At 44.0% G+C, this 15,096-nt stretch overlaps 1 long non-coding RNA gene across 1 annotated transcript, besides 1 other annotated feature; it reads right to left on the bottom strand.

The window, feature by feature from the left end:
• Positions 1 to 1,281: 1,281 nt before the first annotated feature.
• Positions 1,282 to 14,437, bottom strand: LOC107984170 (uncharacterized). The gene is made up of 3 exons (XR_001747283.2): positions 14,400 to 14,437; positions 12,312 to 12,440; positions 1,282 to 1,377 (listed from the first exon to the last, which is right to left on the bottom strand). It is a non-coding gene; the product is annotated as an uncharacterized LOC107984170 (long non-coding RNA).
• Positions 5,070 to 5,571: an enhancer, noted in NCBI's record as "H3K4me1 hESC enhancer chr10:29010913-29011414 (GRCh37/hg19 assembly coordinates)". NCBI's record gives its function as "activates a minimal SCP1, AML or CMV promoter by ChIP-STARR-seq in naive H9 embryonic stem cells {active_cell/tissue: H9 hESC(naive)}" and the evidence as "EXISTENCE:reporter gene assay evidence [ECO:0000049][PMID:30033119]".
• Positions 14,438 to 15,096: the final 659 nt, after the last annotated feature.

The following is a 15,096-nucleotide window of genomic DNA, read 5'->3' as shown; positions in this document are numbered from 1 at the left end:
AGAGAGAAGTGCAAGCAGAGGAAATGCCAGACACTTATAAAACCATCAGATCTCGTGAGAACTCACTCACTATCACGAGAACAGCATGGGGGAAACTGCGCCCACGATCCAATCGCTTCCCTGCTTCCACACTTGGAGATTACAACTCAAGATGAGATTTGGGTGGGGACAGACAGTCGAAGCTCATCACTCCATCTCTACAATCAGATAGTTGCAAGGGTAAGTAGTTGTGGAGAGAAGGCCTTGCAAATTCTACTTAGGACAAGTGGAGAGATGTAGTCTGAAGTCTTCCTAGCAGAAATACTTTGTGTGCCCATGGGAAGAAAACTGTTCCTTTTCCTTCTTTCCTTCTTAACTGAGATAATGGAGCAACTTTCCTGGTCTGTCTTTATTAAAATATCTCTTTGCAGGCCAGGTACAGTGGCTCATGCCTGTAATCCCAGCACTTTGGGAGGCTGAGGTGGGCGGATGGCCTGAGACCAGGAGTTCAAGACCAGCCTAGCCAACATGGTGAAACCCCATCTCTACTAAAAATACAAAAATTAATCAGGCATGGTGGCGGGTGCCTGTAATCCCAGCTACTTGGGAGTCTGAGGCATAAGAATTGCTTGAACTCAGGAAGTCGAGGTTGCAGTGAGCCAAGATCACGCCACTGCACTCCAGCCTGGACGACAGAGTGAGACTCTGTCTCAAAAAAACAAAAACAAAAATCTCTTCACGCAGTTTTATTCCAAGTCTGATCTTTACAAAAGATGAATGGGTGGGGTGCTCTGGAAGAAGATGATATTTGACAAGAAAGGCAGCTCATATGTCCTTTCTAGAGCATACTGTGGGTTAATAACACATTGCTGTGTTGAGGCCTGTAGGAAGTCTGTTCTGATGGGGAACTTAAATAAATCGTATTTAGCCTCTTGATGGTTTCTCCCTCCCTATTTTGTGCTTCTCAAATCCTCTGCATTTTATTTGGTCATCAACTATGAGCGACTCTTAGTTTGCTGAGCAAAGGCTGTCAACTATGCAAAGGCAAGCTTCAGCTCTCAGTCTTTTCAACCTGTTTCATTCCAAGATCTGGCTTTGAGAGGTTTGAATTGATGAGGTATTATCAAAGTACAGCCAGTAAGCACCAAAGACTCAAATTGTGTGTGTGAATGTTTACTGTCGGACATCCAACCTCCTCATGAATCATGAATCTGTGTGTCCCACGGCATGTTCCACTTTGTAGGATACATGAAATGACTGGTCCTCACATCTTTGAATGGCATAAAATTTAAAACCCACAGATTATTAATACCAGATTCTCGTTTATTGTTTCATCATTCCTGAAATCATGCTCTGTAGTAAAGACTTTCCAAGTATCTTCATATTCATGGGGCTGCCCTGGGGAAAAACAAAACAAAAACAAAATTATCCCTTGACTACAATATGTGGCACAAGAAAAATCATTTTCTACTGAATTGGCCCCTGTCACAATTATCCCCTGATGCCTGGTTTTGAATACAGAGCTTACATTTCTAATCATCCATGCTGGCATTTTCTTTACTTGATTGCCCAATTGCTATACACACAGACATTATGGTGGATTGACCTGAGTTCATTTTCGCCACAATATACTCTGTTCTCTTATGAATAAAAGACTCGAAATTCCTGAAGGGAGGGCTGTGATTGATGGCTGTGTTTAGGTAAACCTTTATGTGGGGTGGGTGGAGTGAAAGGGGCTGGGAAAGGGTCGGATCTGTACCTCTAAAATATGTAAATGAGGATAAAATTACTTCCCAGAAAATGGGGGCTAATGCAACCATCTAGAAATTTTGTTTGTTTGTTATTTTCTTAGAGACAGAGTCTGGCCCCATCTCCCAGGCAGGAATGCAATGGTGCGATCATAGCTCACTGTAACCTGAACTCTGGGACTCAAGCAATCCTCCTGCTTCAGCCTCCCAAGTAGCTGGGACTACAGTTGCGTGCCACCATGCCCTGCTAATTTCTTTAAATTTTTTGTTGTCTCTCTGTGTTGTCCAGGCTGGTCTCTAACATCTGGCTTCAAGTGATCCCCCTGCCTCAGCTTCCCAAAGAGCTGGAATTACAAGCATGAGTCACCATGCCCAGCCCAGAACTTTTTTTTTAAATTCAAAATTGGCTGGGCACGATGGCTCACACCTGTAATTCCAGCGCTTTGGGAGGCCGAGGCGGGTGGATCATTTAAGGTCAGAAGTTCAAGACCATCATGTCCCACATGGTGAAACCCCTTCTCTACTAAAAATACAAAAATTAGCCAGGCGTGGTGGCACACATCTGTAATCCCAGTTACTTGGGAGGCTGAGGCAGGAAAATCAGTTGAACCTGGGAGGCAGAGGTTGCAGTGGACCAAGATCGTGCTACTGCACTCCAGTCTGGGCAACAGAGCAAGACTCCATCTCAAAAAAAAAAAAAAAATCCACCATAAATTGTTAATGGATTGGGAGGCCAAGGCGGGCGGATTACGAGGTCAGGAGATTGAGATCATCCTGGCTAACACGGTGAAACTCCATCTCTACTAAAAAATTCAAAAAAAAAAAAAAAAAAGAAAAAGTTAATGGAAAGAGCATGCCTCTCTACATAGGGCCAAGCCTGAAGTTGATCAGATGATAGAAGCATCTTTTGGTCCATTTTGTAGGATTCTCCAATGTCCTAAGTCCAAAGTTCCCAATATAATGTCTTAATCTGTTTTCTTCTTACCATCATTTATCAGAAAAGATGGGGTTCATTTTCAGAGTGGTATGGCCATAGACCTTACCATAATTTAAAAGCCCAGTTGTTATCATCATTCATTTTAATTTGGTTTTGGGAAAAGATAGGAGGAAAGAGAGAAAAAGTTATATTCTATCAGTCTTAAAATTCAATATATAAATCAAATTTAACTTCAAATTTTCCACTTTCTGGTATTCTGCAAAAATCCACTAAATTTCTGCCTAGTCCCAAGAGGTGATGCTACCATCTTATAAGTTTAACTTTCTCTTATGCCAGATATTTAATGACCCAACATACAGCACTGCAAAATCCTTTCTTGGCTAGACTCTGCATCTAGCCATTACATCTGCCTTTAACAGACTGTCAGTCTGGCAAGAACACCCACTATATGAAGAGCTGCTATTGATCTCAGGTATAATTGGTTCACAGCCTGGCCTGTGTCAGGGTTGGCAACACAGGTCAGTGGAAATATGCACAAATTAGACATGATCAATAGGTGGTTTCCAACCTCTTTCCCATTGGCCCAAGTGAAGGTAACAAGCACACAACAATCTTGCCCACCTATAAACTGGAATTTACCACACAAGCAGTCCAACTTTTCCAGAGGATTAAGCGGGAAGGCAAGAAATTAAATTATTAAATATGATTGCTCTTTGCAAAGCATGATACTGTATAAATACCAAAAATATTACAGGTCAGATGTGGTGGCTTACACCCAGAATCGCAGCACTTTGGGAGGCTGAGGTGGGATGACCACTTGAGCTCAGGAGCTCAAGACCATACTGGGCAAGATAATGAAACCTCGTCTCTACTAAAAATAAAATTTTAAAATTAACCATGTGTGGTGACATGTGCCTGTAGTCCCAGATACTCAGGAGGCTGAGGTAGGAGGCTCTCTTGGCCAGTGAGGTCAAGGCTGCAGTGAGCTATGATCGTGCCACTACACTCCAGCCTGGACAACAGAGCAAAGACTCTGTCTCAAAAAAAAAAAAAAAAGCAAAAAAGCAAAAACAAAAAAGTTACTTTGTTAGGCTGGGCACAGTGGCTCACACCTGTAATCCCAGCACTTTGGGAGGCCGAGGCGGGTGGATCACCTGAGGTTGGGAGTTCAAGACCAGCCTGACCAACATAGAGAAACCCCGTCTCTACTAAAAATATAAAATTAGCCAGGTGGAGTGGTGCATGCCTGTAATCCCAGCTACTTGGGAGGCTGAGGCAGGAGAATCGCTTGAACCCGGGAGGCGGAGGGTTGTGGTGAGCCAAGATCACGCCATTGCACTCCAGTCCGGGCAACAAGAGCAAAACTCCCTCTCAAAACAAACAAACAAACAAACAAGCAAACATGATTTTGTATGGGGGAAAAAATGGAAGGATTCATGTATTTCCTCATCACAGTTGAGAATATGGATTAATACAACTGCATCACAGAGAATTCATTGTATCTTATGTATACACTATATCATATCACTCCTTTGGATTTTAAATTTACTAGGTCAAAAAATTTCCCTTAACAGCAACAACAGTAAAAAATAATATGTGTAGATGTTTTACACGGTGGGCTGGGGGGGCGGGAATTAATTCTTCAAGCATCAAAGGGGAGACTTAATGTTGTAGAAATGTGGCCAAGTTCATCAACTTGGAAAATTAACTTATGTGCCTGGGTTGTATTGACTTCATCTGCTCTTCCTTCTCCAGAACAAGTTAGAAACACTCAAGATTTTGCAAATAAGGAATCCATCTGTCCATGTAGTCATCAAGAAGTTGGGGGTCTCTTTCCAGTTATCTGAGAAAAGTGATTTCAATGCTCTGAAAACCCCCTCGCCACCCCCCACCTCCCCCAGGACTTTCACAAGAAATTCCAAGGTCTTTCAGCCTGGGCCAAAGGAAAAAGAAAGATATTTTTTAATTAAGAAATCAATGCAAAAGCGAAATGCCTTTGGTGTAAGTCCTCTCCGAGTCGCTTAGAAACGTGAGAAAATCTGCTCGAGCTAAGCTATCTTTAATAATACCAATTCTTCAGCGAGCTCCTCCTAGGTGGATTCACATATAGGCCCCCCCAGAGAGAGGCACCTCTGCGGAAATGAACATTGACCTCACGTGGCTGAGTCTTCTGCAGCAAGGGGATGCCATCCCTGCGGCTCCTAGAGCCACGTGTTGCTGGGGCGCATTTACACCTGGCACCGGGATGGGCGGTGCGTTGAGGCGCTTGGAGGATCCCACCTGGGCGGGGAGACTGAGCGCTGATGTTAGCTGGAGCTGCCTCAGCATTTTGTGTTCTTGATCACATTTCACAGGGATTTCACTCCCGCCCGAGCACCCTCTTTCGGCTGCTGCTGATGGGACGCGTGCATCAAGAGATCAGTGGACCCAGAGCGAGGTGGGGACGTGACACAGGGCGGCGGGGCCTCGGGGGACAAAGGGGACCCGCTCTCGGAAGGGGACGTCCGGGCGTGCGCCATCGTGAAGCGGAGACGTTTCTATTTCCAGCCGGTCTGCCCAGAGGCTGAGTTTGCCACATCAGTGACGGCTGGCCTGGGAAGGTTTCTCTAAAATAGCCTCCCACTTGTGCTCAACATGAAGCTGAACCCATTAATTCAAAACACAGCTCTGCGCTTCCTCCCCGCCGCTGCTTTCGCGACAGACGCTGCCCCAGCAGAACAAACCCTTGCATTTGGAGGCCCGCGCGGCTCCGGAGCGCTGAGCCCGTTTGTCTAAACAGCTCTCAGCGGTGGTTCTCATTACAGGGAGACAGCCCCACGCAAACAGACAGCCCTGCTCCTTTAAACACAGCAATTTGGGCTTGTCTGTTGCTCCCTGCTCTTTTTTTTTTTTTTTTTTAAATCATTTGGACTGTAAAGTAATTAGAGGGATAGACATTCCCAAAATAAGAAGATCAACAGCTGAGCTTTGTAATTCTAACGTGAGCACACATATCATTTCAGGCTCTCCCAGGACCCCTAGGCAGGTACGATTTCAATAATCAAAGCGTTTTGCATACATTTTCTAATTACCACTCTTGCCCTTGGATTTTTTTGTTTTTGAACTTCCAAGCTCGCCAGTGCCACAGAGGGTGGGCTCCATCCCCTCTGTCACCGCCTGGCTTCTCGCTCCCATCCTCAGCCTTGCCCACCGCTGAGCACAACCTTGGTTTGTTTTTTTCCCTATCAAAGCGCTGTGCGAAGAAAGGAAAATAGTGTTTTGAGGGGGAAGAGTAAGGAGTGGTAATTATATTCCTAATCACATGTAATTTAAGAGAAAATGAGTAGATGGGAGAGGCTATTTAGCTCTTGACTCCGTGTAATTCCACAGTCTGGGACCACAGGCACCCCACTGTCACCTGGGTGTCTTTCAAAGCCACCCTAGGCTCAGCAGCCAAACGGTTAATTACAAGGGAGAAGCTGCTCTCCAGCAACTGCAGCTCTAACTGTGGAACACTGTCATTAGATGACAATGGCAGCCTTTGCCCCAAATCCAGAGCCTACCTCAGACTGTTCCCCTGGGTTCTCTGCCCCACTTCCGAAGTGGGAAAGGCACCAGGCATGTACAAACACATGACAACAAACAGTAGGGCTGCACTCCGTTTAACATACCAGTATTTTTGTGCTCAGTACATTAGATATGTCACTCATGACATTTGCACAATTCAATTAATGAACGATTGAATAATTTACTGAGCAAAAGCTACTCACATGGGTAACATTGTGCAAAGAGTCACATTTGTTAGTTCATCTGTGAAACAAACACCGACTCAAGGATTGCTGAGAGGATTTAATGAGATAATAAATAATAATGACTGGGTGCGGTGGCTCACACCTGTAATCCCAACACTTTGGGAGGCCAAGGTGGGCAGATCACTTGAGCCCAGGAGTTCAAGACAAACCTGGGCAACATGGAAAATCCTCATCCCTATAAAAAATTAAAAAATTAGCCAGGCCTGGTGGTGCATGCCCGTAGTCCCAGCCACTTGGTAGGCTGAGGTAGGAGATCACTTGAGCCCAGAAGATTGAAGCTACAGTGGGCGGTGATCACACCACTGCACTCCAGCCTGGGCAACAGAGCAAGACCTTGTCTCAATAAAACAATAAAATGAAATAAAATTAATAATAATGATAATAAAACTTTGAACACTGCCTGACACAGCAGGTGCTTAGCAAATATTAGATATTAATACGTAAAATTCAAGCCTGAGCAACATAGTGGGACTCTCTTTTTTTATTTCTTTATTTTATTTTTCAATTTTTTTTTGAGATGGAGTCTCGCTCTGTTGCCCAGGCTGAAGTGCAGTGGCACGATCTCGGCTCACTGCCACCTCCACCTCCCGAGTTCAAGCAATTCTCTTGTCTCAGTCTCCCCAGTAGCTGGGACTACAAGCGCCTGCCACCATGCCCTGCTAATTTTTTGTATTTTTAGTATAGACTGGGTTTCACCATATTGGTCAGGCTGGTCTCGAACTCCTGACCTCAAATGATCCACCCGCCTCGCCCTCCCAAAGGAGACCCTGTCTCTTAAAAATTTTTAAATTAGCCAGGCATGGTGATGCACACTTGTAGTTCCAGGTACTCAGGAGGCTGAGGCAGGAGGATGACTTGAGCCCAGGAGTTCGAGGCTGCAGGGAGCTATGATTGCACCACTGCACTCCAGCCTGGACAACAGAGGAAGACCCTGTCTCAAAAAAAAAAAAAAAAAAACCTTAAAATTCCGTGCATATGAGTTGTGTGTCCAGTACTTTACATACATCTTATTTCATATTTACAATAATACCATGAAGAAGACTATTCTTGTTCACATTTCACCAAAAACTGAGAATTAAAGAGATCAAAAAACTGTGCCCAAGGTCACACAGCCAGTAACAGAAGTGGGATTTAAACTCAGGAAACGTGACTCAGCAGTCTGTTATTTAATCAAAACATTCCTCTCTTTCTCTCCCTCCCTACGTCTTCCTCTGTCTTATCTTGTGCATATAAATATATGTATAATATTTTACATCTTTAAATAATTTCATACAAACGACCTGTTGTTAGAACCTAAGGATTATTATTTTCCCTCAAAGAGATTTACCGCATCTCACAATTTATAGCTAGAGTGCTTGATTGACATAGAGTTTTATTGAAAGTTATGTTTTAAGTGTGTTGTCTTATCTCCAAAATTGTACTTTAAGCTCCTCTATAACCACACTATATCTATTCAGCTTTGTATCCCCCCACGGTTTGCCCTTTAACATCAGAAAGAGTGCAATAGATAGTATGCATTAATTAAGTTCAAAATGAATTAACAAATACATATTGAGTGCCAATACAAGGCATTATTCACCATGTTCTTTTCATTCAAAAAAAGTTTAACATAGCCAGAAATTAAAGATAACTTCACAATATCTTTGCCACATGGCACCAATAGCAGACGCTCTCAAAAACAACAACAACAACAACAAACTTCAACGTTTGAATTAAATGATGAAATTTCTTTCTTTTTTTGAAATAGGGTCTCACTCTGTCACCCAGACTGGAGCACAGTGGCATGAACACAGCTCACTGCAGCTTTAGTCTCCTCGGTTCAAGCAATTCTCCCACCTCAGCCTCCCAAGTAGCTGGGGCCACAGGTATGCACCACCACACTTAGCTAATTTTTCAGCTTTCTGTAGAGATGGGGTCTCACCATCTTTCCCAGGCTGGTCCCAAACTTTTAGGCTCAAGTGATCTGCCCTCTTCAGCCTCCCAAAGTGCTGGGATTACAGGTGCGAGTCACCGTGCCAAGTCAATAATTTCTTAGACTAACATGGGGCAGGAGCCATAATGGTCCCATGACTTCTCAACTACAAATAGTTGCCAAAAGTGGTATCCACAGCCATACTTTATAAGTGAAATTTTATTAATCAATTGATGTATATGAACATAAATGCAGAAAGGGGAGCAATACGTATTTGATGTTGCCCTGGACTATTATAGTGGTTAAAAATGGAGGAAAATTATTATGATAAAGGTAAGGACCTATTTATTCAATATATAAGTACTGATTATCATGTCTTCTACATTGAAGGTGTTACAAAGACGTTTAAGAAATGGACTGGCAGCCAGGTGTGGTGGCTCACACCTGTAATCCCAACACTTTGGGAGGCCAAGTTGGATGGATCCCTGGAGGTCAGGAGTTCAAGACCAGCCTGGCCAACATGGTGAAACCCCATCTCTACTAAAAAATACAAAAGTTAGCCAGTCGTGGTGGTGTGCACCTGTAATCCCAGCTACTCGGGAGGCTGAGGCATGAGAATCACTTCAACCCCAGAGGCAGAGGTTGCAGTGAGATGAGATCACACCACTGCACTCCAGCCTGGGTGACAGAGCAAGACTCCATCATAAAATAAAATTAAATTAAAATAAAATAAAATAAAATAGGCCATCCATGGTGGCTCACACCTGTGGTCCCAGCTACTCGGGAGACTGAAGTGGGAGGATCGATTGAGCCCTGGAGGTCGAGGTTATGGTGAACTGTGATCACACCACTGCACTCCAGCTGGGCAACAGAACAAACCCCTGTGTCAAAAAAACAAAAGGGAAAAAATTAGCTAGGCACAGTAATGTGTGCCTGTAGTCCTAGCTACTCAGGAAGCTGAGGTGGGAGGAGCCATTGACCCTAGGAGTCGGAGGCTGCAATGAGCTATGATGGCACCACAGCACATCAGCTTAGGCAACAGTGACCTTGACAAAAAAAGAAAAGAAAGAAAGAAGAGAGGGAGGGAGGGAGGAAGGGAGGGAGGGAGGAAGGAAGGAGGGAAGGAAGGAAGGAAGGAAGGAAGGAAGGAAGGAAGGAAGGAAGGAAGGAAGGAAGGAAGGAAGGAAAGAAAGAAAAATAGGGAAAAAAGTGAATAAGACACTGGCTGTGAGCTCAAAGAACTCAGAGTCCAATTGGAGAGGTGAACATGTAAATAGACAATGACAACACAATGTGGTAGGTGCAATAACAGCTAGAAACATAGAAACGGAATGTCCTGAAAGCCCTGGAGAGAAGTCAAGAAACAGCAGAAGAAGTGACATATTAACAGGGTCTCGAAGGCACTATAGCAGTTGGCTGGGTAGAGCAGGAAAGAAGAGCCTTCCACACAGATAACAACATGAACACACAGCAAGAATAATACTAACAAAGCATGTTCATGTTCATCATTTCATTCAGCAACTTGAGGGTAGGAAGGACAAATATTATTATCCCCATTTTACCAAGATAGAAGCTGAGGCTCGGAGCATTTCACTTTCCTAAAAATTAGTACTTGCAGGTCATTTAACCCCAAGTCCAGCTCCCTTCTGTCTAAGATAGACACCAACCCCTGAAAAGTGGAGGAAATATTGCTCCTGAAAGGAGTATTTTACTTGTTTTAAAATTGGAAACTGGCAATGGTGGAAGGAGTGGTGAGCATTCATAATTTTATGAGGCTTAATGATATTATGGCTGCAGGTTGAGAGTTGAAGGTTCTGGCTGGATGTAACAGTTATGTCCCCTTTCAATCTAGGTGTCATAAAAGAAGAGAGGGCCACTTCATTAACAGTGCTCTCAGGGTGGGCTCAGTGGCTCACACCTGTAATCCCAGCACTTTGAGAGACCAAGGTGGGAGGATTGCTTGAGGCTAGAAGTTTGAGTTAAGCCCGGCCAACATAGCAAGACCCCATCTCTATAAAACAAGACAAAAGGAAAAAAAAAAAAAAACCACCACACAATGCTTTCATTTTCCCAGAAGGGGCTGCACTTTAAAATAAAAAGTGGTTTGAACTGCATGCCTGTGTTAGTCCATTTGGTGATCCTACAACAGAATACCTAAAACTGGGTAATTTATCATGAACAGAAATTTATGTTTTCACAGTTCTGGAGGCTGGGAAGTCCAAGGTCAAGCCTCTGGCATTTGGTGAGGGCATTCTTGCTGTGTCACCCCATGGAGGAAGGCAGAAGGCCAAGAAGAGGTGGTGAGGGACAAACTCACCCTTTTATAAGGAACCACCTCCCACAATAGGAGCATTAATTTGTCCATGAGGGCAGTACCCACATAAACCAAACACCCCTCATTAGGCTTCACCTGTCAGCACCACGACACTGAGGATCAAGTTCCCAGCACAAGAACTTTGGGGCACACATTCAAACCATAGCAATGCCTTCCTTTGTTTGGGCCCCTTTGTCCTGCCAATAACAAGCTGTTATCATTCTTCCTCTTTAGCATTTTCAGGCTCTTCTTCATCTTCATCATTAAACAGCCATCTTCCTTCAATGCCTTCAAAGCTTGACACATGGACAAAGGGCACATTTTTATATCAATTGATGCAAAAATGAATTAAGATCTTTATCCATTGTGCTGGTGTATGATTTTTAAAACTTGAATTTAATACTCAGTAATGGCATCAGAGTTGGGTTGATCTGGGTCCGACTAACTTAAAAGTAACTTGCCACAGAAGACAATAGTGATTTCCAGTGACAAAGAGCTCAGCCAAAAGTGTTGTTCTTCTCACTTGGTACATTAGGAGGAAAATACCATAGGTCTCATCCCCCACCAGATCCAAGACTTCTAGCTTTTTACTTGTTGGGTATCAGAAAAGCACAGAAAGAGTTTTTTCCACATTGGTCGTACTCAACTATAAAACTTGCTCCAAGGCTAAAAATATTCCTTAAAATATACCCCTGTCACCTGCACACAGAGTAATGGCACCACTTTGGGAGGCCAAGGTGGGCAGATTGCTTGAGCTCAGGAGTTCAAGACCAGCTTGGGCAACACAGTGAAACCACATCTCTATTAAAAATACAAAAAGTTAGTTGAGCATGGTGGCATGCATCTATAGTCCCAGCTACTTGGGAGGCTGATGTGGGAGGACTACATTGAGCTCAGGAGGTCAAGGCTGCCGTGAACTGGGATTGCACAACTACACTCCAGCCTGAGTGACAGTATGGGATCCTGTCTCAAAAACAAAATTTTTTTAAGGAAATTACTGGGAGGAAGCCTAGGCTGTGCCCTTTGTCTACAAGCCAGTTGAACTTCTCCAGAAGTGGTCTAAGTGTTTGCTCCTAAGATTAGAGAATGAGTTGAAATAAAATTTTTAAATTGCCCGCCAACTAGTTAATGCATTTTAAAATAGGCAATGCCAATCAACTTTTTCAGACATACTTAGAAAATGAAGCCTATCATTTGCATCCTTCTGAATTGTACTTCCTGCCTTTGAATTTTAAAAAAGCAACACTTGTGTTCTCAAAAAGAAGGGTAACATCAAGTTCACACAGCAGCTAGAAACGTGATAAATCCACCAGGGCCACAGTGATGCCTGCCTAAACTAACAATCCATTTATTGCTACAGTTCGCTGCCGTTGTCATCACTTTCATGCCTCTAATTACCTTACATCTGTTTTATGTTTGAAGTTTACAGCACTTGCCCACTTTGGCTACACTAGTTTACATCTAACACCAAACACATGTTTATGTTTACCACATACCAGTTCTGCATTCTTAGACTTAAAATTATATCAACTTATAATCCCATTAATGGAAAACTTATGAGAAGGATCCGGCTCCTTTAATAAAACTAGAAAGAACAACCATTTGGATGCTGTTAAGTACAAACCCATACCGAAGGCTAAATGCTTCAATTAGATGCACCCCGTTCAGGTAAGTGGGCTTCATGAAACACTATCTTGGCTGCTGAGTATAGACGATGTCTTGTAGTCCATTTTCTGGCACTCCATGCTGGAGTTCCCATCTTCATTGAAAAGATAAAGTGTGATCAAAGAGTAATTTGGGTGTGCTTTGTTCAAAATATATCAAATTTATATTGGCATCTTGGAACTTGGCATTTTTAAAGTCACATTTGTGAATAAAATAAGTTTTCCATTTTGAGACTGACAGGGGAGGCAAGCGAGCAGTGTTTTACCATTTGGCAACACCTGCCCCCTCCATATATAGAGCTCCCTACAACAGAGCTGGGTACGTGTCTGGATATCTGTGTCTACTGCTGAACGATCTCCAAAGAAAACCACAGATAAGAACATTATTTGGATCTTGGACCATTTCTGAGGGATTTCAGCTCTATAAAAAAGGGGGGAAAAGACCTTGGGAACTGTAAGCAATTAAATTCTGCTCACGTATGCTTCGTTCCACTTAAAGGAGAAACTACCCTTTCCTTTCAACCTGTTTTGCCAATTTCAATCCTCTTGTTGGGAACCAGACTGAGAGTCTTGCCCTCTACTGGAGTCCAACATCTATTAACAGGAAACTTGATCTTCAAAACCAGTAAATAAACAAGAGGTTTGATGACCTTTTGATGACCTTTCTAAGTAGCATTCCTTTAAAACAAAAAATAGCTCTCTATCTAGAATACACTAATATAGACGACTGGTCTAGCTGTCTGAATAAGAGGTCGTATCTTAAAGGAAATGCACTATGTAGCCTGAACAGTAGCAACTCTTCTATCTTTTGCCTCTACCTCTCCAGAACCGACACTGGGTTTTAGAGAGCTTTTCCCAGGTACATCAGAATCTTGCATTAAAAATCGAAGACATAGCCTGGGCAATATGGCAAAACCCCATCTCTACAAAAAATACAAAGAAAACTAGGCATGATGGTGCACACCTATAGACCCAGCTGCTTGGGAGGCTGAACAAGAGAATCATCTGAGCCCAGGAGGTCAAGGCTGCAGTGAGCTGTGATGGCACCACTGCACTCTAGCTGGGCAACAGAGCGAGAACCTGTCTCAAAAAAAAAAAAAAAAAAAAAATCGAACACATCAAATGAGATTAGAGTTTGTCCTGAAAAGCCAGCCTGGGCTTGTCTGAACTCAATGATCGGATGCCTTTCCCTTTCATCTAGTGGCCTGCTCAGCCAACACGAAATCTAAGTGGCACTTTTCCCCCATGGGATACTTGCTGCCCTGGACGTCTCCCTGTTTCGTGGGGTCTCTGAAAATCCTCTCTGATGGGGATCAGCATGCCTGCCCTGTGTCCAGCACAACCCAGAATAAAGATGTGCTGGACAGCACAGGGAAAAGGGTGAAGGAGGGAAGGAGCAGGAAGGGAAGGAGTACTCGTGACTGAGCTCAGCAGCCTGAGTCCTGCTGAATCATGTCAAAGATTGTAATTCATGCTTGCAAAGCAGCATCAATTCTGTTCACTCGGGAGCCTTTCTTTACCATGTCAGGCTAACTTTTGTATTTTTAGTAGAGACGGGGTTTCACCACATTGGTCAGGCTAGTCTCGAACTCCTGGCCTCATGATCTGCCAACTTCGGCCTCCCAAAGTGCTGGGATTACATGCGTAAGCCACCGCGCCTGGCCATAATGGGTTCTTAACAAATGGTAGCTCTGATGATGGGGACCAACCCCCAAGATCACAGAGCTGGGGACTGGAGGAACAGGGACTCCAGCTTAGATCCTCCACCACCAAAGGCCTTACCCTTCCAGTACAGGCTGTCTGGCAGTGGCTGCAGAGGTGAGCAGCAATATGGTATTCTGCAGGGGCTGCACTGTCGGCAAACAAAATCCGTTAAGATCAGGGATTGTTGGGCTGAGCATAGTGGCTCATGCCTGTAATCCCAGCACTTTAGGAGGTTGAGACAGGAGGATTGCTTGAGTCCAGGAGTTCAAGACCAGCACGGGCAACATGGTGAAACCCCTTTTTTTTACCAAAAAATAAAACAATTAGCTGGGTGTGGTGGTGGTGCTTACCTGTAGTCCCAGCTACTGGAAAGGCTGAGATGGGAGGATTGCTTGAGCCGAGGAGATCAAGGCTGCAGTGAGGTATGCTCATGCCCTGTACGGTAGCCTGGGTGACAGAGTGAGACCCTATCTCAAAAAAAAGAAAAAAGACCAGGGATTGTCTCAGTCCATTCAAGTTGCTATAACAAAGTGCCTTAGACTGGGTAATTAGTACACAACAGAAATTGACTGTTCACAGTTCTGGAGGCTGAGAAGTCCAAAATCAAGGCACCATCAGATTCGGTGTCTCTTGAGGGCCCATTCCTCATAGATGGTGCCTTCTACGTGTCCTCACAGGGCAGAAGAGGAAAGGGGCCAACACCTCTCTTAAGCTTCTTTTATAAGGGCACTAATCCCATGCATGAGGGTGGAGCCCATGTGACCTAATCACTTCCCCAAAAGCCCCATCTCTCAATACGATTACACACTGGGGATTCCATTTCAATACATGAATAGTGAAGGGGCTCATACCTGTAATCCCAGCTCTTTGGGATGTGTAGGCAGGAGGGTTGCTTGAGCTCAGGAGTTCAAAACTAGCCTGGTCAACAGAGTGAGACCCCATCTCTACAAAAAGCCAGGCATAGTAGCGTGCACCTGTAGTCCCAGCTACTTAGGAGGCTGAGGTGGGCAAATCACTTGTGCCCAGGAGTTTGAGGCTGCCATGACA

Source organism: Homo sapiens, chromosome 10 (assembly GCF_000001405.40).
Source record: "Homo sapiens chromosome 10, GRCh38.p14 Primary Assembly".
Classification (NCBI taxonomy): Eukaryota; Metazoa; Chordata; class Mammalia; order Primates; family Hominidae; genus Homo; species Homo sapiens.
This window is presented reverse-complemented; position numbering and strand designations above follow the sequence as displayed.